General features: G+C 35.9%; 1 pseudogene across 1 annotated transcript in view, besides 2 other annotated features; it reads right to left on the bottom strand.

Annotated features, from left to right (window-relative positions):
• Positions 1-865: 865 nt before the first annotated feature.
• EGFEM1P (EGF like and EMI domain containing 1, pseudogene) overlaps positions 866-24,945 on the bottom strand; it is a 581,078-nt pseudogene continuing 556,998 nt past the window's right edge. Inside the window, exons 10-16 of the transcript NR_021485.2 lie at positions 23,814-23,936; positions 21,626-21,746; positions 21,063-21,257; positions 18,980-19,111; positions 10,138-10,272; positions 6,540-6,662; positions 866-2,387 (exon numbers count right to left, since the gene is read on the bottom strand). The product of NR_021485.2 is annotated as an EGF like and EMI domain containing 1, pseudogene (transcript). The remainder of the gene's footprint in view (positions 2,388-6,539; positions 6,663-10,137; positions 10,273-18,979; positions 19,112-21,062; positions 21,258-21,625; positions 21,747-23,813; positions 23,937-24,945) is intronic.
• Positions 18,711-19,300: an enhancer, noted in NCBI's record as "OCT4-NANOG hESC enhancer chr3:168529953-168530542 (GRCh37/hg19 assembly coordinates)". NCBI's record gives its function as "activates a minimal SCP1, AML or CMV promoter by ChIP-STARR-seq in naive H9 embryonic stem cells {active_cell/tissue: H9 hESC(naive)}" and the evidence as "EXISTENCE:reporter gene assay evidence [ECO:0000049][PMID:30033119]".
• Positions 23,558-24,153: an enhancer, noted in NCBI's record as "OCT4-NANOG hESC enhancer chr3:168525100-168525695 (GRCh37/hg19 assembly coordinates)". NCBI's record gives its function as "activates a minimal SCP1, AML or CMV promoter by ChIP-STARR-seq in naive H9 embryonic stem cells {active_cell/tissue: H9 hESC(naive)}" and the evidence as "EXISTENCE:reporter gene assay evidence [ECO:0000049][PMID:30033119]".

Raw genomic sequence — 24,945 nt, 5'->3', positions numbered from 1 at the left:
TAATTCACCCACCTCGGCCTCCCAAAGTGCTGAGATTACAGGCGTGAGCCACCGCACCTGGCCCTATAATTAACTTCTGATATACAGCATCTGTCATCAGGCTTGGTCCAGTTGAACAGGTAGGGACATTGGCTGATATCAAGGTCCCACCAGGAAACGCGGTGTACCAGGCAACTTAGGCTGTAGAAATAGGTTGGATGTGCTATATAAGGACCAAACAAACAAACAAACCAAACAAAACAAAAACAACATCCCTCCACCATTAAATTGAGTATGGGCTATTAATAGCATTTGACATTTCAACAATGTTTTCGGCTATGTTAGCAACGATTTTTGCAATCTGCAAAGGTGGGGCCAAAAATAAAACAACCTTAAGGAAATTTCTTGACTGCTTAGGTTTTTTTCTATGGAATCTTAAATTCCTTTATTTTCTCTCAATTTTATAAGCAGGCAGCTACAAAATTAATATTAGAAAGCACTGTCTCATTTGATAGATATATAATATTGGTATGTACTTTACTGATTATCTAGTCCTCAATTATTAATTACTTCAGACAAATTACTTAATTCTTCCTATATACAGCCTCCTCGTTCATGAAATGGGGATGATAATAGTACCAAATTCAGATAGTTGTTCTAAGGTTTAAGTGAGCATACTGATGGAAAACACAAAACACAGTGTGTAATACAGAGTAGATACTCAACATGAGCTTTGAGTAATACATCACTATACAGCATGTCTATATTTACTACATAATGTTATTCTCTATACATTGAATTATATATTATATAATTATATAGTCGAACTCTTTCCTTTTATATACAGACACTAAAAGCCAGAGATATTTGTTCACTTTTCTTTTTCTTTTTTTTTTTTTTTGTCGCCCAGGCTGGAGTGCAATGGCGCAATCTCAGCTCACTGCAACCTCTGCCTCCCGGGTTCAAGTGATTCTCCTGCCTCAGCCTCCTGAGTAGCTGGGATTACAGGCGTGTGCCACCACTCCAGGCTAATTTTTGTATTTTCAGTAGAGATGGGGTTGGCCAGGCTGGTCTTGAACTCCCGACCTCAAGTGATCCTCCCGCCTCGGCTTCCCAAAGTGCTGGGATTACAGGTGTGAGCCACGGCGTCCAGCCTACATTTGTTTACTTTTCTAAGGTAACTCTGTTGTATTTAAAAGGAATGATTGCATACATTGAAAGTGAGTATAGAAGGAAATAATCTGGACTCTTGAGATGAAGCTAAGGAATCATCATTGTCTGATGTTAGTCTTCTAATCCATTGAAAAATCTTCTCATGAAAAGTGTTTTCAGAAATGGAGTACAGACCAATAAAGCTGTGGTGCTACAGCTTTCTTGATTTCCTCTTGCTATATTAAAAGGCTGAGTAATTCAATCCAGTTTAACGAGTATTGGTTACTGGGTATTTTTCAGTATCATAAACGCTGTGTTTTGCAAGTTTTTTTTTTTTTTACTCAGTAAATTATTTCGATGGAATTTTAAGTTGTCAAAAATGTTCTTTAATTGAATCTAGCAAATCTTTATTGAGTACCCCTTGTATATTGAAAAGTGGGGTGTACAAAAATTAATGATAAGCAGTCTTAATAGCAGGCAACTAATTATAATACAATATGATTGGTGCTGCTATGGAAAGAAGGGCTCTAGTATTTTGTTTACATATACTGGAAAATAAAAATGCTTGAGGAATAAATGCTTGAGGGAATAAAAATGGAAGAAGAAAACATGTATTACAGGAAAGAGCAATGAACAATGGCACCATGTTTTAAATGTACATGATGTTGGGGGAATGACTAAAATATGTAGGGTATACGTAAGCATGGTCAAAAGCTGGCTAGAGACAGGTTGATGATGGGTCTTTAGTGCTACGAACTTCATTATGAACAGTATCAGTAGCTCAATGAGGTTTATAAAGTAATGACATGATTAACTTTGTTTTTAATGATCTAATTGAGACACTGGAAGGTGATCAAGTAGAAAACAGAACAATTCTTGGCCCCCCTTTAGCAGGTATGTACTAAAAATGACAGCTAATTTGAATATTAACTTTTCAAAAATACAGATAGGAAGACAAATCTTCTACAGACCAAATCAACCGCTACTCAACTTAATGGCTTTATATCAGCTGCACCATGACCCCCTCTCATTCTCTTGGACGATGGGGGAGATGAACGCATTGGTAATGAAATACCCATCAGTCCTCAACTACATCCCTATTTTAAAACTGAATTTGCACAATAGCTTTTTGAAAGGCCTGTCACTGCTGCACTGTTGCCTCTGTCGCACTTCTCTGTGGGAGCTGACATTTTGCTGATACTTCATCGGGCTGGACCGCCTGCTGAGAGCCAGATTGGTAAGGGAAATGCATCTCACTGTGGGAAAGGATAGGAGATGTATTATTTAAATACAATTTATTTTACAGCAACTTTAAAAATCTGATTTACAATTGTTTCAGAGAGGAGGAAGTATCTTGTTGTACCTTAGCTCTTTATGTTTGGTAATATTTCAGATTTTAATTGTTTTTCTAATTTTTAAAACTTGTTTGCTGTTTTGCCTTGCTTTACACATACTCTTTTACTTCTACCTTGGATAACTGGTAACTGTCTTTTCTTTTTCTTCTTCTTCTTCTTCTTTTTTTTTTTTTTTTTTTAACAAAAGTGTGTCACTAAGGAAATACCAGCCCTCATTCGTGCTGGGTGTGGTAGAGGAAGTTGGAAAACAGCTTAGAGGTTGTTAAAGGATTCTCTAGATTGAGTCAAAACCCCAGCTATATGAATTCTAGAGTAAAAGACTGAGGAGACTGTGTTTACACATAAAGCAACTCAATACCTTCTTTTGTCTGTTTTTTGAATCTTGAATCCATTTAGCCAAACAATTGATTTTTGTCTTGAAAATAAAATAGCCTATCTAAATAGCAAATTTTTGTTGGTTGGAACTATTTATTGGTTAATTCAACCAAAAAGGTCAATCGGGTTATCTGTTTAGAAACAGTAAAATAAAACTGATACCTGAAAAGTAATAATTTCTTCATATCAATAGAGAAAGTAAAAGTTAAGAAATTGTTTGGTGTGTTCAGAATACAAATATTTGCCAGCCAATGGTATGCTGGAGCCATAACTACCGGCTCGGGAAAGCCAACTGCTACATTTTCAGGAATTTTGCAAGCCATTTGAAATCACATTGATTGCTTGAAATCACCACGGTAGGAGTATTATACCTTGGAAATCGGCAAACACTAAAACTCAGTGCTTTTATCTTTCACAGAGCCTGTTAAACATTTGCCAGCTTAGCACTGAGGAAGGCTTACACCTGTGTTCATTATGGTTTTTATGAAGTTTGATCAAATAATATTTGAAGCATGGATGTATTTGGAATTAGTATCTCCCTTCCCATGTCTTTTCTCCTTTCTGATTTTCTCTCCTTTAATAGTGAAGGGGCCTGTTTTGTAAGTGCTCCTGAAAAATAAAAGTAATCACTAAATGACTAAGGAATAGAAAATGAGGTTTCTGACGAAAGGGAAATAAAATATTAGGAGGAAACGTTACTATGTTCTTTTAGGTGTTTATTTTTCAAGAGTTTTGGTAGTGCTGATGAGCTATGGTTAATATTCACAATAGGAGAAAAAGGAGAAAATGGTCTAAAATTAAAATAGCAATAAGTTAAATATGACTGAAGGAAAAAAATATCTTCACTATTATGGGAACAGTTTAGGCCAACAGAGAATACTTTAAGAATAGATAACTATTTTTCTTGGATATTTAGTCACCAATTGGTCTAAAGATGATGCCATTTTTTTCTCTGATTCCTAAGGAAAAAGTAGTAAACTAGTAAATATGAAAAAGACAGAAATGTATAAAGGAGAAAAATATTCACCCATAGTCCCACCATCTAGAGATGGACACTGTTTAAAAACTGCTGTCCTTTCTTCTACAATTTCCCATATACATACATAGCTACATGTTCTTACAAATTTGAATCATTCTGTACATATAGCTTTTAACATCAACTCAATGTCAATTTTTCTGACATGACATATTCTTCTAAAACATGAAACTTAATGGCCTCAGAAGAGTCCAGTGATATGCTGTATAATTTGCTCAATCATTCTCCTTCTAGTGGGTATTTAGGTTGTTTCTACTTTAAGCTTTTTTTGTTGTTATAAATAATGCTGGGATAAAGAAAAGGCTGGGAGCCCTTCTCTGATTATTTGCTAAAAGGCCTGACATGTAAGATTTAACTGCCCTTCACATAGATGATGCATTCTTATCAAGGGTGTGAGAGTGCCTGTGATTCCACCCCCATGGCCATGCCACACCATACACATACTGTTTAGGAAGCAAAAACAAAAAACAGCAACAAAGTCCAATCTACCATAATCCAGAGGATTTTTTAAATACAGTGAAATAAAAGATTTAAAAAGATTTTCCCCAAGTATTTGTATTTATAACTTCCAAACAACAGGATTTATTAAAAAGCCAATATATTTAAACGTAGCTTTTTGGTCTTTCCTGCCTCTAAAATATATTACTTATATAGCCTATGAGTATTTTTACAGTTCATTATGCAGAGTAACTAGGTTTTAAAATTCTGTGAGCACCATAACGGGATATTTAGAGAAATGTTGTATGCTTTTCTTCAAATACATGCCACTTTTAAAATGCCACACACATTTTTTGTGAGGTACGCGTGAAGCATTTTTAATGAATTCTATCATTTGGCTCCATTCATTTTCCTAAATATCTTATTATGGTGATTATATAATTTGTGTTTGTGTCTGTGTGTGTAAAATCAGATAATAGCATGTAATACTAAAATTGGACTGGACTAGGAGTCAGGGAATATTTTTGCATATTGAATTCAATACATGTATCATTATCAAGTTGCCAATAAAATGTAAATAGTATTACTTATCACTAACAAATCTCTCAGGACTATCATGAAATGTTTTTCTGGGATTTGAAGTCATAAAAGGAAAGAACTGTAACATAACTATGAAAATTAATATCTTAAAGAATGAGGAGTTTATCTTTTTCTTCACTTGTTCTTAAATGGTCTATTTATATCACTTGACAACTGGAACAGTGTAAACTTTATCACTATCTGCTTAATAATTATTCCATTAAAGTTGAGTTAGACAAGAGAAAATGTCACTTCACTGTGGAAATAGCAAGTAACTACCTTTTGAATATGTAAATTCTTACCTTTAAGAGGTATTTTTTTTTTTTTGAAGCAAACAAGTAGGTTAGGGATAGCCAACTGCTTCTCCAGTAAACTATTCTACTGTTTGAAATGCTTGTCAAAAGTGCCAGAATAATGGTTCTAAAATAAAGTATCTTGCTATATACAGAAAGTCATCAAAGATCTAGTCCTGTAACTTTTGCCTGAGGGTTCTCCCTAGGGGCAGCAATATTTCCCAAAGTGATCATATGATTAGCTCAGTGCTAAATACTATCTGCTTACATTTTATATATGGTGTTTCTGATTTTATATATTTGTTGGTTAATGGAAAGGCCTAAGCACTGAAAGCTAATTCAAATCACTGTTCACACTTCATAAAATGATAATCACAAATGTTTGCTAATCTTTATTAGACAAATAAATAGTAATGTAAAAAAAAAAGTATAATTACTATCCAGCCCATAGTTTTCCTCACATTCTCAAGTCACTGTGTTTCATTGTCAATGGAGTAGAGAAGGTGATACAGGCAGGGTTAGCACAACTTACAAATAATCACAACCAGAAAAGGGTACAGCGGGATAGTAGTTCTACTGGCTCCTTGAAACTAGTTCGATGTAGCTAATCACTTTCTATCACTCTCTAATCTGCTCCCATCTGACAAGAATGATAATTCTAGTCTAATAGGTTCTTAAAGTGCCTTTCAGTATAAATTTGAATAGCATACTATGGTAGATTGCTTCCAAAAATGGCTGCAACCATATCTCTCAACTTGAAGGTCTTTTGCAATAAGCTTCTGCTACTCTTCTCTTCAGAAGGTAGAATCTCTTTCTCCTTCCCCTGAACTTGGCTTGCCCATGACTTGCTTTAACCAATAGAATGTGGTGAAAGTGACAATGTGTGGCTTCTGAGGCAAGGCTTTTCCACCTCACATAGCTTTTGCTTGCACACTTTTGGAATGCTCCTTCTTTATTGTCTTAAAACTGTCACGCTATAGGAAAGTCCAAGTTAACCTTGTGGAAATGTTTTGTAAAGGAAAGGGCAAGTTCCCTGGTTGAGCAGCCCAGCCATGCCCAGTCTGTTCTCAAATATCTACCAGCCCAAGCAGTCACATGAGTGACCCCAGGGGACACCAGCAGTATAATCGCCTCATCAAACCATAGAATTAAGGGAAATATTAAATCATTGTTTTAAGCCACAAAGTATTGGGGTAGTTTGTTACACAACAATAAATGGTGGGAACATGCATCCTAACATAGCAATATCTTGTATAGCAGGAAAAAAAAGCATTTTTAAAGTTAACAGTTTTATTAACTTTGTTGGTTATTTCGTCTAGGTTTATGACTTACATATGGTACAGGATTTTCTTGTGTAATCAGGAGTGCAGTCACAATTTCCAGTTTTTTTGTTGCACTGACCTCCATTTTCACAGGGTGCAGAGGAGAACCAGCCCTCTGGTCCCCAGAGGCCATCTGGGCAGACATAAAATAAAAAGAGAGAGAGAGAAAGAAACGTAGACTTGTAAGAAGTCTCAAAATGGTCCAAGATTTCTACTGTTGCCTAACCAAGTTGGAAAAGTGTGTGTGTGTGTGTGTGTGTGTGTGTGTGACAGAGCTGCAAAGAAAGAAATATCCTAGTAGCCTCCAAGGATTTATAACACTTCCAAAAGTATTCCCTGAAGAAATCAACATGATACTATATCTTGTCACTTTGAAAACACAGATACAGAGGTTGGCTTTTTGCTGAAAATGTGGTTTTTCAGACAGTAACAATGGAAGCAATTTTGATATATATCTTTAGCAGCAGTTGCACAGAACAAAACCTGAAAATGAGATGTAATTTGTAAAGGAAGCTCAGGAGGCGTGGCACTCAGGAAGTTGCCCTCAAATTGTTGCCTAAATCCTGTTCTCTAAGACTGCTTCTTTTGTGAGCTAAAATAATCACACCAGAGGTTTATGAACTGTGTACTTTATGAGAGTGTACAGTGCATAAGGTGGGAGAAGAGAAAGAGTGATCTGCTTTGTTGACTGTTCTTTGAACTAGCAAAGGACAGTTGATGCTGCAGGGACCACTGAGGGCTCAGTGAGAGGTTTCAGTGTGTGTTCTTCCATATAAACCACTGGAATTAGAAACCCGGTGGAAAGCATTTTTTTTTAACCCAAGGAAAAAGGTGGAACTTTCTTAAAAATATAACACTTATGAAAAGTTACATCAAATCAAGTTGGGCTGTGAAGTATCTTCTTGTCCTACAGAATTATAATATTTTCTGGGATATTCATACCCGATCTGTTGATTACTAACTCTGTTAAGCACTTTATGTAAATTAGCTCATACTTCCAAAAGAGAACCCTATGGCATAAGCAAATTTATTTCCATTTTATATGAGAAACAGAGGCTCCCACAAGTTAAGTGACTTACTCTATATCACAAAGCTTGAACCCAGATCTCCTGGCCTCTGAAACTGGTGCGCTCAGCCACTACACCCGAATTTACTCTACAATACTAGGTACTCAGCATCTTTCAGGCCAATTAATCTGCTCTTAAAGATTCACCGGGTTCAAAATTCGAAGTTCATCTGATGTGGAACTCTTCTAAAAAAAATCTTTCTTTCTTATCATGATCCAGGGGTTGTATAGTGTCAAGGGGCCAGCTGGGCCAGAGTCCTCTACATTCTGAGGTCTGCCTGCAGTGAGTGTGCAAAATACTCTAGGCTACAAACTAATCTAAACAAGGCAAAGACACCGGCTGCTTTACTTTTTCTTTCTTTTTTTTTTTTTTTTTTTTTTTTTTTTTTTTGCTATTTCACAGGTTAGTTGTAGAAACCAGCTCTTCTGTTCTTAGAAGTCATTGCTGATAAGCTAAATAAGGCCTGGTGCTGATTGCGGAAAATACTGTTCATTAGTGCCATTGAAACAATTTCCAGTCTTTAATTAACTATTCATCTGCAATCTAGACACAGGTCTGGAGTTAAGATTTTTAAAGATATGTCTGTCTCTAGGAGCACTTGGGCTACTTCACTCTTTTAAAAAAGAGAAAGAAAAACAACAGGCCTGATTTTCATCATGCACAACTCTTGGAGAGCTCTTTTTGCCTTGATTTCAACTGCCAATCATAGCAACCCCATTCACCTGCTGCAGTCTGATTCATAATTTCATTTTGTGGTTAGACAAAAATATCAGAATTGGACAAAGTTATCTGATTGAAAAATAATATGTTTTCCAGAGATTATGGTGACCTCTCTATTTTGCTGATTTACATATACTTTCAACTCATTTTCCTTCACAGTGGGAATCTCAGAAGCATTTTCCAATAAAGTATATTCAGCAGCTGCTTTAAGAAAATGTTATCAGAATAAATTAAGTTTACCCAGGTTTGTTATATGGCATTGTCTCCTCATACATTGACTTCCAGGGCATGACTTCTCCAGGAGGAAAATGAATAAGGGGTTGACTCTGGGCTTAAAAATCATTTGAAGCAGGAAGATGTTTAGAAATTGGCATGGGACCTACTCTCATACCACATTAAACCCGTTAGTGTCATGTTAGGATTCTATTTCCCCAACTTCCTTTCCCTAATGTCTAGAAAGTCACAATCCAGCTACCTAAGTAAACTCTGTCCATGAAATCTAGATGGACATCACTGTTCACCCTCTCCAGTTCTATAACCACTAGACAACCTGGAACAGAGAAACTCCCCTGTCCATCCAGCTCCAGAAAAGCCCTGCAGATCCTCTGAAGATGGCATTGCAAGGAGAAAGTGAGGATACGTGAGTGTCAAAGACCATTTTCAATCCTAGTGCCTGCCTCTGTAAGTGGCCCCAAAGACATGATGGTTTCCTTTCGAACCTATTATCTCCTTCTGATTTTACACAAGGTTGTACTAAAGAGAAAAAAATGCTGTGATATTTTCCTCTGAAATATAATAATAAGTGCTTAATGCAAAATACATGATAATACAAGAAAAATGTATAAAGAATAAAAATGCAAATTTATGTATTGATTTAAGAAAATATTTATTGAGCAATATCTGTATATCAGGACTGTTTCAGAAGTTTGGGGATACTTGGCTGAACAAAATTTTTAGATACCCTTCACTCATGGGGTTCTGCTTATAGCAGGAAAAGACAGGCAATAAATATTTGACATCATAATTAGAGTATGTGCTGTATTAGAAAATGATCAGCAGTATAAAAAAAGAAAAAAGTTTGGAAACTTACAAGTTACAGTTTTAAGTAGGGTAGTACTGACAAGATTCAGTAAAAAAGGAACATGAGACTTTTTGAAATGTGAAAGAGTTATGTAGGTACCTAGGAAAGAGCATCCCATGAATGCACAAGCCAGAGATAGTCAATACTGGCATCTTGGAATACCTTTTTCCAAATGGTATATGCATCTACACACACACACATATATACCTATATATGTTACTTGTAATTGTAATCATACTATACAATAACTTTTATATTTATAAAAAATGTAATACATACAAATTTGAAAAACCAAAACACCAATAACCATATTAAAACTTTTCAAAGTTTTTCTATGGTTAAGCATTAGCATCTTTGAATTACATTTGTTTGAATGATCAATCCTTAGATATAAAGAAAACAATTCTAATTCTGGAAGTTAGTAGTGCCTTGGGTTGATTAGTTCAGTTTAAAGAAGCAGTTGTCTAGCTTTAGTCTTTCTGAATATAATTATCTGCAGTGTGATCTTTCTTCTCTTGCTCAAGCTAACAAGGGGACAGGAAGCAGCAGAGGCTAAGAAGACTGCATTAAATAACTCTATTGCCCTATGTCTCAGTTTCCTCACCTGCATATAGGGGATTAATAGAGCTTACCCATCTTCTGAGGGCACTGGTGGATTAACTAATTAATAATCATATGATGCTGAACAAAGGCTGAGGATTATTATTAAAGAAGAAAGAAAATCTATCATCAGAGCATACCTTTCTGGCATCTGTTGCCTTGGTAACCAGATTTGCAGGTGCAACTACCATTTTTGGCACTGCATTCCAGGGTATTCTCCTCCACACACTGACATTCTGAAGTGCAGCCAGCTCCGTAGGCATCCTCGAGACAGTCTATAAGCAAATAGAGGCAAAGCGGTCACCTGAAAACCACGCTTTGTTTATTTTAAATTGTTAGTGCACAGGCATGTAGTTCTGTGGAGCCTGATTATGGGGAAAACAAGAGGATCATCCTGACTGCCAAAAAAATGAGGAAACAAATGTCTTTTAAATCAGGCAATTCATTTGCTTTTTGGCAACTGGACGTGAACAGTGAAGCCTGAACTACTTAAAAGGCTTTGGTGCTTCCGGGAGAGAAATTGCTTCTCAATGTGCTCCATTGGTGCCTATAGTTAATATTCTCCAAAGAATGCTAAGGCCTGCCAGGCCCCATATTCATCCTGCTGCAGCATGGAGATGACGGACAAGCACTTATGAGAAGGCTGGCCGTTGTTTTCATTCCCTTCCATTCTATGGTAATCAGAAATAATTTTACATCATGTAGGATAACATAAAGGTTTCATGGTGACAACAGCGTTATCTTGGCCACATCTTTGGCAAATGGTACTTGCCTTCCTTTCATTATTTTCTCTTTGCCATTGAGTGTTAGGGATGGAAGGCAGCACAGGAATTCTAATATGAAAAAGTCACACCTTTGCATTCAGGAAAACATACCCATAGTTTTCTCTTTGAGGAGTGTTACAGTAATTCAATTCCTTTTCTGAAATATCCCTCTGACATTATTTTCTCCCCTATTACAGATGTCCAAGTGACATACCAAGTAAAAAATCCTTCAAGTGGCCTCCAGGCTCAAGGTAATTGCATTGTGTGCCCACATACGCTTTGCTGTAGAAAGCTGCTTAGAGAGAACACTTGACTTTCCAGTGGATGGAAAGAGACATTAGTAGAGATCATTCAAAGTGATGGTTATGATGCCACCATGTAGGGCCATCCTAGTCCCAATTGCCAGGGATAGTACAGAGCTACCTCTAAAGTTAACAGAGTCCTTTTCAGGTTTCCCAATGTAGATAATAACTTATATGATCCTCTATCTCCTTTTCTATGGCTTCCAAGTTTTGGATCCTTTCGTACACCCACCAGGTCCCAGGGTCTCTCAGGCTGTTGCCTGCCTTAATGTAGGCCTCTTCTTGCTCATTCCTAAATCCTCACTCAAAATTGTCCTTCATGCCCTATTCTTTCTGGTTCAGCACATAGAATTATGGTTCAGAAGACAACACAGACACAGAGGAATGCTTAAATGTGACCATTTGTATATTAAGAACATATCAGTACTGGAATATATTTGGAAATACGGAAAAGTGGGGTTTGTAATGCATTGAAATGTGTCCACCAAAAATTCATATGTTGAAGTTCTAATCCTTCAGTACTTCAGAATGTAAATTTATTTGAACCTGAATCATTGCAGACATAAGTAGTTAAGATGAGGTCATACTGGAATAGGATGGCCTCTAATTCAATATGACTGCTGTCCTTATAAATAAGCAGTATTTGTATGCAGAGACATGTACCATACGAAGATTGAAGTTAAGTTGCCACAAGCCAAGGAACTACCAGAAACTAGGAGAGAGGCCTGGAACAGATCTGTCCCTAGCACCTTCAGGGGGTTGGGGACACCTTGATCTTGGACGTCTAGCTTACAGAACTACAAGGCAATGCATTTCTGTTGTTTAAGCCATTCAGTTTGTGGTACTTTGTTATGGTGGGACTAAAAAACGAATATATAGAGTTGCAAACTCAAGTTCCTGAAGACCAGGAAAGTGACATTAATAAATAAATCTTCAAGTCCAAGCAATAAGGGAGTTGCAAAGAACTAGAATGTATCATTTTTCCCTAAAGATAGTCATATTCAAAATGCTAACCACCACCACCACCACCAACACAACAAACATGTTTGCTGATTTTTTTCCTGTGCCTCAACTCCTCGCAGCATGCAAATGAATAAATATGTGCTATGCCAATATCATTAAACCCTAAAAACTTCAACTTGATGTTTCTGAAAAGTTATCCCTTTACATTTTTGACCAGATCAATAATGATTCAATTTTTTTTTGCCATAACATCTGATGTAACCTTTTTAGATATTCTAAAGTTAATACTAAAAGTGGGATGTGTCTTGTTACACTACAGGAACAATAATACAAATATTATCCTTGTTTCTAGGTCAATCTTCTTCTCTTGGCATATCCTAGGAGGTATATAACATTCTGGAACATACCATCTGCACCTCTATTGCTCATAGTTTCCCACACCTTTCCCCTTCTCTTCTATGTTGCTTGTCTAGGCCTAATGTTTCCTCATGCTCCAGGTTTAGTGTTCTATGATGACTTCACTGGATCTCTTATTGGTATATTTATAATTTATCTTTCCTATGGACATGGCTTTTATAAAATAGACGAGAATCATGGATATTCATTAAAATAAAACATAAGACTCTAAAAGGTGTCTGTTATCAAGAGATGGTTATGGTATTAAGTGGTTCTATGGTTAGAATGTTTTTGTCCTCCCAAAATTCATATGTTGAAATCCTGACTCCCAGGGCTATGGTATTAGCAGTGATTAAGTGATTATGTTGTGAGGATGGAGCTTTCATGAATAAAATTAGTGATCTTAAAAGAGACCCCAGAGAACTGCCTTGTCCCTTCCACCATGCATGAGAACACAGTGAAAAGATGCCATCTAAGAACCAACAAGTAAGCCCTCCCCAGATACCAAATCTGGTGTCTTGATCTCAGTCTTCCCAGTCTCCAGTACTGTGAGAAACAAGTATTTGTTGATTATGTACAACCTGGCTTATGGTATTCTGTTGTAGCAGCCCAGATGGACTAAAACACTGAAGTTCAATCAGGAAAGATTTTCAGAGGCATTAGTCTGTTAACAAAAAGAGAAGAGGATGTGAAATAGGTAGAGGAGCAGGGTGAAGATTTTTGCAGGCTCATAGATACTTGCACATAGCATCAAGGTGGGATGGAGAACATTCAGAGTTATCCCACTGGGAGAAATTCTAAAAGTTACTGCTGGGTTGAAGTATTTGTTAGTGATCATGTTTTCTTGCATCCTTTGAAAAATGTGATTAATAGTCAAAATGCAATATTAGAAATCTTAGAGAATGAGACTGCTTCATTCTGGAACAGAGAAATAAAAGAAACTTGTTCTGGCCCGAGGTATTCAACTTTGGTAAAGTATCAAACATCTACTTAAAGAGACTATTAACAATCCACTCCCATTAATTAAGGTAAACATTAATCAGATGTAAAACAAAATTAGAAACATTTTTCTTTCATTCATTAAAATCTAGATTCTATAAAGAGGCTAAAGGCTATAACATATTTGTCATATATATAAAACTATAGAAAACATTTTTTACTCTCTTCCTTTGTCTGACAGTAGTCTCTGCACTTTTCTGTGTCTTCACGCTTTACACACAGAGCAAATTAAGTGCCTGCAAGTTACTCAGATGACAAAACCTCCCATGGCGCCCTGGCTCACACATATGGGCGCCATACATCCTGTGGCAATGGCCATTGTTGGCACAGTTACATTTCCTTTTGCAGTTCTTCCCAAAGAACCCTTTTGGGCATCCTGGAAGGTGAGAGGACAAATGAAGAAAATATTAAACCACATGTAAAACTTGCTAGAGTTATTGTTATAGGAAGTCAGGAGACTGAGAAAGGTGAAATGTTTCCAATCTGGTTGAACTGAGGCTAGAGAGATCTTTTTAAAACCACCAAGATGATTCTGTATCCTCTGCTTAAAAATCCTACAATGACTCGTCATTGCTGTCTGGTCAAAAACACCAAACTTAATAAGACTGGGGCCCCTGAGCTTGCTGACCTCATGTTGCACTACCGTCTCCCTGTCTGCCTGTGCTCCGCTCCGCTGGCCTCTGCAGGTTTCATAGAGCATCCCATGCCTTCCTACTGCCTCTTAATCAGGAAAGCTCTTTCCTCACTCTTCTCCTGTTTTATCTCTCCACATTTTGCAGGCTTTTGCTTAAATGTGACTTCTCCATAAGTCTCTCTCTCAGGCTCATACAGTCTGCATTGTCCTCATGGTCTCACTTCCAACCACATATTAGTACTGGTAGGTAATCCCTACCAGTATTTGTAATTTATGGTTGCCTTGAACAAAATCGCAAGTTCCACATGGAAGCATCATAATAGCTTTTATTTCTTTTTTGTTATCATATCATAATGTCTGGTGCCATTCCTTGCAACCATTTAATGTAGTTTTTAAATAAATAAATGAACATTGCTCACAAAGATAAGTAACTGAAATGCCAGCAGGGACCTTACTGCATCTCAGAAAGTGAAGTAAACTTCATTTCCAGCTCCCCAATTCTATCAACTGTGAGAAGCTAATAAACTCCTCATGATTTCTGGCCATCCCTAGAGACTTACATCCTCACTGACTCTCTGCCTTCAGCTTTTGTGCATGTGCAAGCAGGTTCTTTTTTTTGTGCTTTATTAACCCATGTAGGAATTGTGGCCTCTTCACTGGTTTCCACACACACACACACACAAAATCTATGCACAGTACTCATTGGTATTTTGTGAGATTTTTATCCATCATCTCTTTTTTTCTTTTTCTCTCTACCTCCTTCCCTTTTCTTCTCTAATTTTCATCTGTCTTCCTCCCTGGTTTCCCCAAGGAGCTCTATTGTTCTTCATTTTGTTATGCAGAGAAAATAACTTCTCCTAAGCTCCTACATCTAAACCTATATACATAATTGTAACTTTTTGCTCAGTAGAAGAAAAAGGCTTTCTCTGTAAGAGGATTCGTCCTGCTTAGATCACAGTTGGAGATTTAAATATCACTTATTTCGTTGTTACACATGTCATCAGTCAAAACAATTGTACTCTTTTATATATACAGACACAGCTTTCACAGTCTTTTACTTCTTCAGAAAAAGGCCATTTTGAAAAATACACATGCAACTTTCACTTAGTTTACTTCTCATTAGAAACCCCAAGAACTTAACTGACTGGCACCAGACATTCCTTCTATCTTCACAAGTTTTCCCATGAACCCCTGGGGGGCTCTGGCAGTGCCCAGTCAGAAGATCACAGATGCCTCCATTCTGACAATTACCGATGCTGCCACATTCTTTCTCACTGGTCTCTGGGGAATAAGCTATGAAGAAACTAGAGAAGATGAACAAGCAATGGAACATACGTGTTCTGATACAAATGGAGGGAAAAAATAGCTTCTCTTTCTATCAGGATAGATACCAAGTAATTAAAAACTCAGTGGCTTACAGACCCAGGAAAATTTTCTGGCATGTTCCTAGTTTGTATAGCATAATCACTCCCGAGGGGATTACTGATACAGCTAGTTAAAATAATGATGACTGAAGAAATTGCTAACAAGTTTCAAATGCAAAATTTATCTCATTTCTTAAACTCTAACCCTCACACTTTAAAAGCTACCCAGACAACTTTGCTGTACAATTCCAACCCTAACGAGAAACAAACTGCATCTTCTATTTTGAAAACTGAGGGAAAAATGCTTTTAAAATGTCATGTATTTTTAACCAGGAATGAATGCAGCTAAGGTTCTCATGGGGGTCCCAAGGTAGTTTGCATTGCCAAAGATAAGACAAAGTCAGGCAAACAACAGTTTTCATTAGGTTGTTGGTATTTTTGTGTTTAGTGCTCTATAAAACAATAAATTGGGAAAAATGTCGGTGACTTTATATTGTAATGTAAGCAAATGTAGCTGTTGAGATAATTTCAGTAATAACTGTAATTGACATTTTATCATAATAGGCTAAATGTTATAAAATTACATTTATAAAATCTGCTCCATTCATCCCCTGCTCCCATTCCAGATGCTAATATGGAACTTGGCTTCTTATTCACCCTTTTCTTTGCTTTCAAGCCATAGGTTACTATGAAAGGGAAAAAAGGAAAGGATAAACAAAAAATGAGAGACTGGCAACAAGCATTTGTTGTGGCCTATATTATTAATTTACATTTTGTTAATGTTTGCATTTTAACAGCAACTACAGAAGGGGCAATTTTTAAACACTTAACCTGTAAAATGAAGCTAAGGAAGTTTAAATGGCTTGCACAGCGTCTGGATTATGGCGAGTCATCAATATAGACAAACCGACACTATAATTTGACACTCCCTCACAAAGTAAACTGTGATTATCATATAGTCTATAGATTTGCCAAATACTTCATTAGATCAAACAGTGTAGAGATTCTGGGGAAGAAAAATGTAAAACAAACACGTCCCAAACCATAGCTGGATGATGTAAAAAAAAAGTCATAAATCTCTCCTCCCATGTTTTAGTCTACTCATTTGACATATGAAAAATACTCCTATCTTTCCTTTCCACCAGATACAGTCTCACAATAACAAATGATCTCGATATGAAACCTTTCATAAGAAATGGGGTTCTAAAAGTGTGCTTTTAAAATTAAATAATATGTGGTCATTTTAAAATTGTTTCAATATATTTATTTGAAGAAACCTCTAAGAAATCAAAGTAGATATTTTCATTATAGACTAATAAATGTATTGGGCTAGAAGATCTACTCAACGGGAAAACTGACTTCTAGATCCCTGTTGAAAGTTCTTTTTTCATTTATTTTGCTGCATTTGAAAAGCTGGCAATCTTAAAAATATAGCCAATGAATAACTGGTCTCTGCTTATTGTAGTTTAAAGGGATTTATTCTTATTCTTCTTCTTATTATTATTATTTTTGTAGAGACTAGGACTTGCTATGTTGCCCAGGCTGGTCTCAAACTCCTGGCCTCAAGCGATCTTCCTGCCTCAGCCTCTCAGAGTGTTGAGATTACAGGCATGAGCCAGCACCCCTGGCCAATAGGGATTTTAAAGAAAATATTCCCACTCCTTCTTTTTGTTAAAAAAATATGAACAATTGTTTTTTGTTTCTCCTAAATAGATTGTTCTGTTTTCATTGTTGTAAAAGAAATAAGAGAAGGATATAGAGAAAGTACAAAGAAGATAGAAGTTCTGCTTTCAGGGGTAGACTCCCCTTTATTGCAACATATAAATATTTGAGAGATCCCCAAGGTTTTCTAAAGCCAAAGAAGATGCCATCTCATTTCTATTTTATCAGCAAGCTCATTTTCAATATTTTGGTATTAATTTTATGTCAGAGATATTTTATTCTTACGTGTTAGAGACAGATTTTTTCATTATTTTATTTTTTAGTTTTTAAATTTACTAGTGTGTAAAATATTTTTTATATTTTTATTTTTTATTTTTAAATTTTTATTTATTTTATTCTTATTTGTTTGAGATAGATTTTTTAGTTTTTTTACTATGTTAGGGATAAGTATTGGGAGATGCATATTTATCAATAAAACTTACAATATAAGGTAAATATTGACTTACTAGTGGTCATGCAATAATATTTATTTGATCCCAATTTTATGTATTTGAGTGTGCCAAGTTGCAGGTCAATATAGCTGGGAGTTTCAACACCAAGTTTTATTCATGTGTTCATTCATGCACTGGATACCTCCAGTGTGGAGAAATTCACAATGAATAAGCATGAATAGGACCTGGCCAGCAAGCTCTCAGTCTAGTAAAGAAGATAGAAAATAATCCAATGTAGAGAGAGAGAATTTTTTTTTAATCCACCAAAAACATAAATAGCTGTGTTAGACTGAGGCCATCAAATAAAGCTTCATGCAATAGGCAGAAATAGGCCTTCAAGGATGACAGTTTAGCAAAAGGCACAAAGATGAAAAATGCAGCACATTAAGTAGTGAGTGGTTTAGTATGCGGGAAATAATAGGTTAGGTGAAGCGTTAAGACTAGGACAAAAAGCCAAAAGGATTTATGAGAGTCTGATGGCCACTAGTGACTGGGTAAGATGTATACACTTTATGTGAAGGGAAAGGCACAAAGCTTTTCAGCAGCAGAGAAACATGATCAGAGGGATGCATGAGGAAGATCCTCAAAACCCTAACTAGTAATCTTGGTTAAACCATTTCACTATGTTATGACTGAAGTTTTGCATCTATATCATATAAGAGTAACAACAGCTGTGTTCCTCCCATATGTAGAGAGTTCAAAAGAAAATCTGTTCATATCATCTTCCAAGCCAATCACAAAAACTAAGACAAAACACTTATATAAATAGAACTCATAAAATGAATTTAAAAAGAGAAAGAAGAAACAAAGATAGTCAATACATTTTATCACTTGGAAGTTTGAACTCCTGAAAGCATACCTTCATTTAAAATATAGAGGAAAGGAATTTTGGGCAGTATCATTTTTAAATCTTTGAACTTACTCATGAGAGACTTGAATAAAAAAATTAAACCAGTGTCATTGGCTGTGTTTACATGTTTTTAAAAAGAAAAAGAACAAAAAAGTACACAAAACCAAGTAGCAAACAGTCAAGCAAGTCCATTTAAATTGCACTTTGTAGCACAAATCCTTTCCTTTTTTCTTCATTGGGAATAGCTTGTCAGGGCCTAATGATTTATTTAAATGGAGGGATTTTTATAGGCCTAGAATATTAGGATCCTTTATTAACTTTTACATTCCATGGATAAACAAGAGACAGCATGTTGAGTTTCCTAGGGAACATAAAATCTCCTTTTTAAATCACATATTCAGTTTAAAACTTAAAGCACTTCATAAGCATTATTTATGCCCAACAAATAAATTGTCTTCTCATACTTATCAATTGCTTACTTTATTAAAACATTTTGGGGAGAACATATGTAAAGGAGTAGTTTGGAGCACTTACCCAATTCTCAGGGTGTCACTTACTTTCATTACAAAGAATGACACGGCAACCTGCTGGGCAGGAGCATTCACTCTTTCCTTCCTGGCACTTTCCTCCATTCATGCAGTCCTTGCAGCTCAAGCTGCAATTGTGTCCAAAGATGTGATCTAAACAGACTGTAATGTGATACCATCTTAGTTCGTCCATAATTGACTACGTAACCAAAAATCAAAATAAAACCCTTAATTTCCTAAAAAAAAAAAAAAAAAAAGATCTTTGAGCATAGTTCCTAAAGAATCTTTAAAAAGGACAACAGCAAGATATAGCTTTTAAAATAAAGCTTATTTTACTTTTTCCAATTATTACATTAGAATATTGTCCCTAAGAATACTTAGAATCTTTAGGAATTTCTTTTTTAAAAAAGAAATTATCATTGATTTGAGACCAAAAAAAATTCAATGTTCCTGAAATTTTGATGCTTTTTCTTTCAGAATTTTTTATGTGTATTTTTGTTTTCTGAGTAAATCTTTTTATTAAAATTTAATACACAGAGAAGTGTACACAAATCTAAACTGTATACTTCAAACTTCTTTTCACATTGTAAATAACTCATGTAAATGCCACCCAGATCAAGGTACATAATATTACTAGCAATCCAAAATCTCAAAAGTGACTTAATAATTTTCAATCATTAATTTCATAAATTAAGCATCGTGGTGATCTCTATCACCACAGATTATTTTCCCTTTTTTGAACTTTTTATAGGTAGAATTGAAAAGTATGTACTCTTTGGTGTCAAGCTTCTTTCATTCAATATAATGTATGTGAGATCATACACATTGTGTATGCGAGAGTTTATTTTTTATGGTTATACAGTATTCCATTGTATTAATGTACCACAATGTATTTATTTATCCATTCTGTTTTTGAGGGAAATTATCATATAGAATAAAGGTGGAGAGATGTGTATTCAGTTGTTTAAGGCTCATTCCATTTTAACTTTTGTCCCTGTTTCTAGGGTAGGGACTTTAAGATGCCCTAATTGAAAACTTGGCATATTTACCAAGGCTTCTCTCCTTTGGCAGGCCTGAGCTCCATGTTCTGCCTCCCCAACATCATGAAACTGCTGATAAATGTGCTTCACTCTTCAAGCTCCTAGCAGCTATCTTTCAGATTCCTGGCACAACCCATTAATTGGCAAATGGCTTGAGGAGAAAAGCATCTGAGACCATCCTCCTTGTCTGGTCTTCTCTTCTTTGCAGATCTTGGCAACTCAAGTTCTGACTGTTGTTGTTGCCGCCCCCAACTATTTCTCTTCTGACTTTGATTAGCCAAAGCATCAGGAGTTTAATTAAGAAACATTAAAGTACTTCTATTTTTATATAGAGACACTTATTGATGATATTATGATTTGACCACTGCGTAAAAATATTTCTATTTTTCTGAATACATTCTAAAGCAATCATCAAGCTTTGATATTGTTAAAATACAATAAATAGAGGGAGAATAAAAAGAACAGCTCTGTTTTACAAAGGAAAAAAAAGAAGCAGTGGACTGGCTGCAAACAGTTACTTTTGATAGAGATTTACTTTGATCAGAAGTCGACGCTTGAGTTCTGTTGTTTAGATATATAAGAAAAACTGCTCACATTTTGAAGATTTTCTGGTCCATTTAAGCATATTAACCAATTAGTTCTCTGCATTTTAAAACCTAGAAAGGAACTACATTTTAGGGCTATTTAAGGTAAATTTTAACTATCTAAGGTGATTTCTAGTGAAATTTTAATAGAATTATAAGATTTCAATCTTTCTCCCCATTATGCTAATTTAAAGATATTTTTCTGCTCCATTTCCCTGTATTAACTTCAAGAACACCCCTCCACACTGCACTCCCACTTCTACAAGTACCTACACAGCACTCCTTTATTGTACAAAAGGAAATAAAAAAGACAAAAGATGATGGATTTCATAGGAAGCTCTGAAGAAGTGACTTTGGCCCTACTTTTCTTGCAAACTTCATGTTAAAACATATGATGGCATTAAATATTGATAGTAAAATTGTCTACAAAAATGTAGTAAATTATCTAAAAATAGAAGTAAGTATAGTAAGGTAAATTCTTTTACACACCAAAATTGTGCAAAGCAGTCAGTTCTCTATGAATATCTTTTTCCTCTTCCTCCTCATCTTCTTCATCTTTGTAGGTGGGAGGCAGAAAAGTAGCAACATAATGAAGCTGTTGAGGTGGGCTCTTGAATAGAAGACCTGGAAACCTCACAACTTCTCATTCCTCTTCTTCTTCCTCTAGCTCATCATCATCTAAAGCTAAGGCCATAGAAGAAAATGCGAGGTTTCAACTTGGTTAAAAGAAGGAAGTACTGTGCAAAGGTTGATAGAGAAATGAGAGAGTTTGAACTAGACAGCCAAGGCAGGGGGTAACAGAAAGGTAAAATGCTTTGAGATGGCCATTTCAAAAGTCTATTGTAAATGAAGGTGAGAAGCTGCCAGCACAAAGTTAAAACTGTAGCAGAGAGAACAAAAGAAAATAAGGAAAGATCTTAGTCTGTGAAGACAGAAAGGGGAAGGCAGGTTGAGTTAAGAAATATGTGGCCTCCATTGCTCCTGAAGAACAAGATGAGGCTGGAAGTAGTTTAGAAAATATATTAATACAATAAAATTCTTCAGTGACTTACAGGGGTAAGTTTTTCTGTCATTTCCAATTCTGTAGCCTTCTTCACAACTACATTCGTATGTTCCCACAGAATTAATGTAGTTGGTCACAGACTATACTGACATCCAGACACTCATCCACATCTAAGAAAATTTAAACAATATCTGCTTTTAGGCATTGAGAGATAAGATAGATCTTATGAAATAATAGACATATTGGTGTTCCTCTTGTGACCTTTATTAAACAATAACAATGTACTGCCACATAGAAAGCAAGCATAGCCCCCACATTCTTTCTCAAGTACACTTGGCCAATTATTTTTATTTCACTCATTTTCAAGTTTACTCTACTTCATCTACACAGACAAGGTATTTCTGAGACCTTGTTTGTGAGGTTTAGATGAAAAACTTAAAATAAATTCAGGCCGGGTGTGGTGGCTCACGCCTGTAATCCCAGCACTTTGGGAGGCCGAGGCGGGCAGATCACGAGGTCAGGAGATCGAGACCATCCTGGCTAACACGGTGAAACCCCGTCTCTACTAAAAAATACAAAAAATTAGCCGGGCGTGGTAGCAGGTGCCTGTAGTCCCAGCTACTTGGGAGGCTGAGGCAGGAGAATGGCGTGAACCCAGGAGGCGGAGCTTGCAGTGAGCCGAGATCCCGCCACTGCACTCCAGCCAGGGCGACAGAGCGAGACTCCTTCTCAAAAATAAATAAATAAATAATTAAATAATTAATTAATTCAGTGGTCTCAGGCTGTGTACCCTTTTGTAGAATGTTCATTCACTCTCGAATTATTCAATATATATGATAGAAAACTTATTCTAGGTACAAGTCAGTACAAGCTTTGTGGACAATTTTAGAGAAGAAAGAATTTTAGGCCTTGATTGCATGCAACTTACTAGTTTATGACCAAGTCTGAGTCCAGACTTTGGTCAATATGTTCACAATACTATAAGTTCATGTATGAGCTTCTAAGCTTTACCTCAGATTGTTGATGCCTTTTCCATTTGCATGCGTGTATGCAAGTATGTATGTTCATGCCATACAATCATCTCTTGGCTCATTCTGCTTAAGAGCAGATGGTACATGAAATTTTAAAAATGTTTTTGGCTCTGTTAATTGGATGTAATGTGGTAAATGGCAATATACGCTACCGTGTTTAGTATATATAGATATCATAGTTGTGTGTTCATTGCTGTTATCTTCATTGCAAGGTTGGGGGAGCTTGGCTATCTATCATCTTTGACAGAATTCTGAAATGTGTTTCTTTAAGCAAAGAAAAACTAATTTCTCTGAGGCATTACAGTCTTATATAAGTTGATTGTTATTAGAATAGATATCAATCTTCTAATCTTTGATGTTAAGAAAAATTTGGTTCAAAATAATGGTAATAATAATACTAAATGAAAATTTAAAGATTAAATATTTAAGGTAAACTTTTAAATTACAGCAATGGTTATATGAGCTATTCCTAACTGTATAAACAAAGTCAACAAGCTCTACTCACTAAATTCAAACTCTTATATCAAAAAAAAATATATACAAGCAAAAAATCACCTGAAAGGTAAGTGAACTAATTTTAACATGTAAGTTAAGAAATTGTAAATGACTCATTTTAAAACTTGCATTAGCTATATTAATATCAGATATGTATGGGATTCTGGTACAGATTTAGACTGTGGCTTGTGAACTGATGGTCCTTTTGCTCTCTAACTAAAAAAAAAAACAAACAAACAAACAAAAAAAACTCATTCAAAATGTCTTCCAGTAACCAGCTTTCTCATTCCAGTCAAGTTTGCCATGGGTGGTTCCTTTGACAGTGTGCCTTTCAGAATCTCTCATTTGCCTTTAATATACATTAAATTGTGTGAAAGTGATTATGGACCAATAAATATGATAACAATAATAGCTACTTTTAGTTATTTTTCTATGTCAGCCATTGCACTAGGCACTTTACATTTATTACTTTCCTTAATTTCCCCACTAATCCTATTATTGTCATCACTTTACTGATGAGCAGCTAAGGTTCATTGCAGTTAAAGTCGTCCAAGTTTATTATACGATAGTAAATGGTAGAACCACATAGAAAGTCAAGTCTCTTTAGTGTGAAAGCCTTCCCTTGCCCACCCTAGCCCTCTGCCTCAGACATTTCTCTTCCTTTATTGCCCTGTCACATCAATTATTACTTGTTAAATCTCAGGAATTTACCATCACATTCACAACCATTGGAAGTGATCTGAAAGCCTTCCTGACATCTGCATTTGTAGCCTCCTAAATAGTTGATGCAGAGCTGGGCACAGCAGGCTTCTCCATTCTCACATTCGTCAAGATCTGAAGGGGGAAAGAACACTGCTGTTATTGCAGAGATAGGAATTTAACGACCCTATAGAAGCACTGATAAGCTACACTTCTAAATTAAAACTGTTTTACTAATCATTTTCTATTTCTCAGGCCATGTAATACAAACAGCGAAGAAACCTTAACACAAAAATAAGGAGACCTACTTTTGGTTTATGTTTCTTCATGCTTCTTCTATGCCTGTTATTTATTTTAAAAGAATGTAAATAATCTCCAAATGCATTTATAGGCATAGGAAAAGTGATCTCTGCTATTTTTCTAGTTTAAACAGTAATTGGACTGAATAAACAGAGAAGTTGAAGAACAAAAAAACAGCCTAAGAAAAAAGAGCCAAAAAATTCCATTTGGTGAACATTTGACAGCTGCAAAGAGGAGACAGTCTTAGACTCCATAACATGTTTGTTCTTCCAGAACTTCAGATCAAAGAGTGTTCGCAAGCAAGTGTTCCCAACTGCCTGACTGGGAAGACAAGTGGCAACTACAGTTCTGAGAGAGGGCAGAAGACTTATTTTAAGTATTATGTTTTAAATTATAGACCATTTCAGAGCATTTGTTTGAATATTTAGATTATACTGTGACTGGGATGAGTGAGGTCTGGGGTTTTTTATTCCATCTGTGACATCATTACCCTGAAATGTCCTGTTAGGTGAGCAGTTTTCTAAGTAAGGATCTGTAAGCCTTCTTTAGCACTGTTATTTCAGAATTCTACAATCCTGAGTGCTTCTTATTAAGATATAACTGCCCTGGGGAAAATAGAAACGCACCAGAAGATGTCAAATTGTAAGTTTTCAGCCAAAGGATAACCTATTTCACCTGAGTTTTGAGGCGATCATTTCTAACATAATTGGCCAAGGAAGTAGCAACGGACACTTTGCCCTGCTTTCCTTAGGCCGAACACCTGGGAATTATTTGGTCAGGGTTTTTTTTGGCTCTAGGCCTTGGTTCAATTCAAGCCCCTCTGTTGTTGAGCTGTTAAGGTGGA

The sequence above is a fragment of the Homo sapiens genome, chromosome 3, assembly GCF_000001405.40.
Source record: "Homo sapiens chromosome 3, GRCh38.p14 Primary Assembly".
In the NCBI taxonomy this organism is placed as follows: domain Eukaryota; kingdom Metazoa; phylum Chordata; class Mammalia; order Primates; family Hominidae; genus Homo; species Homo sapiens.
Note: the sequence above shows the minus strand (reverse complement) of the source record. Positions and strands in the feature narration are given on the sequence as shown.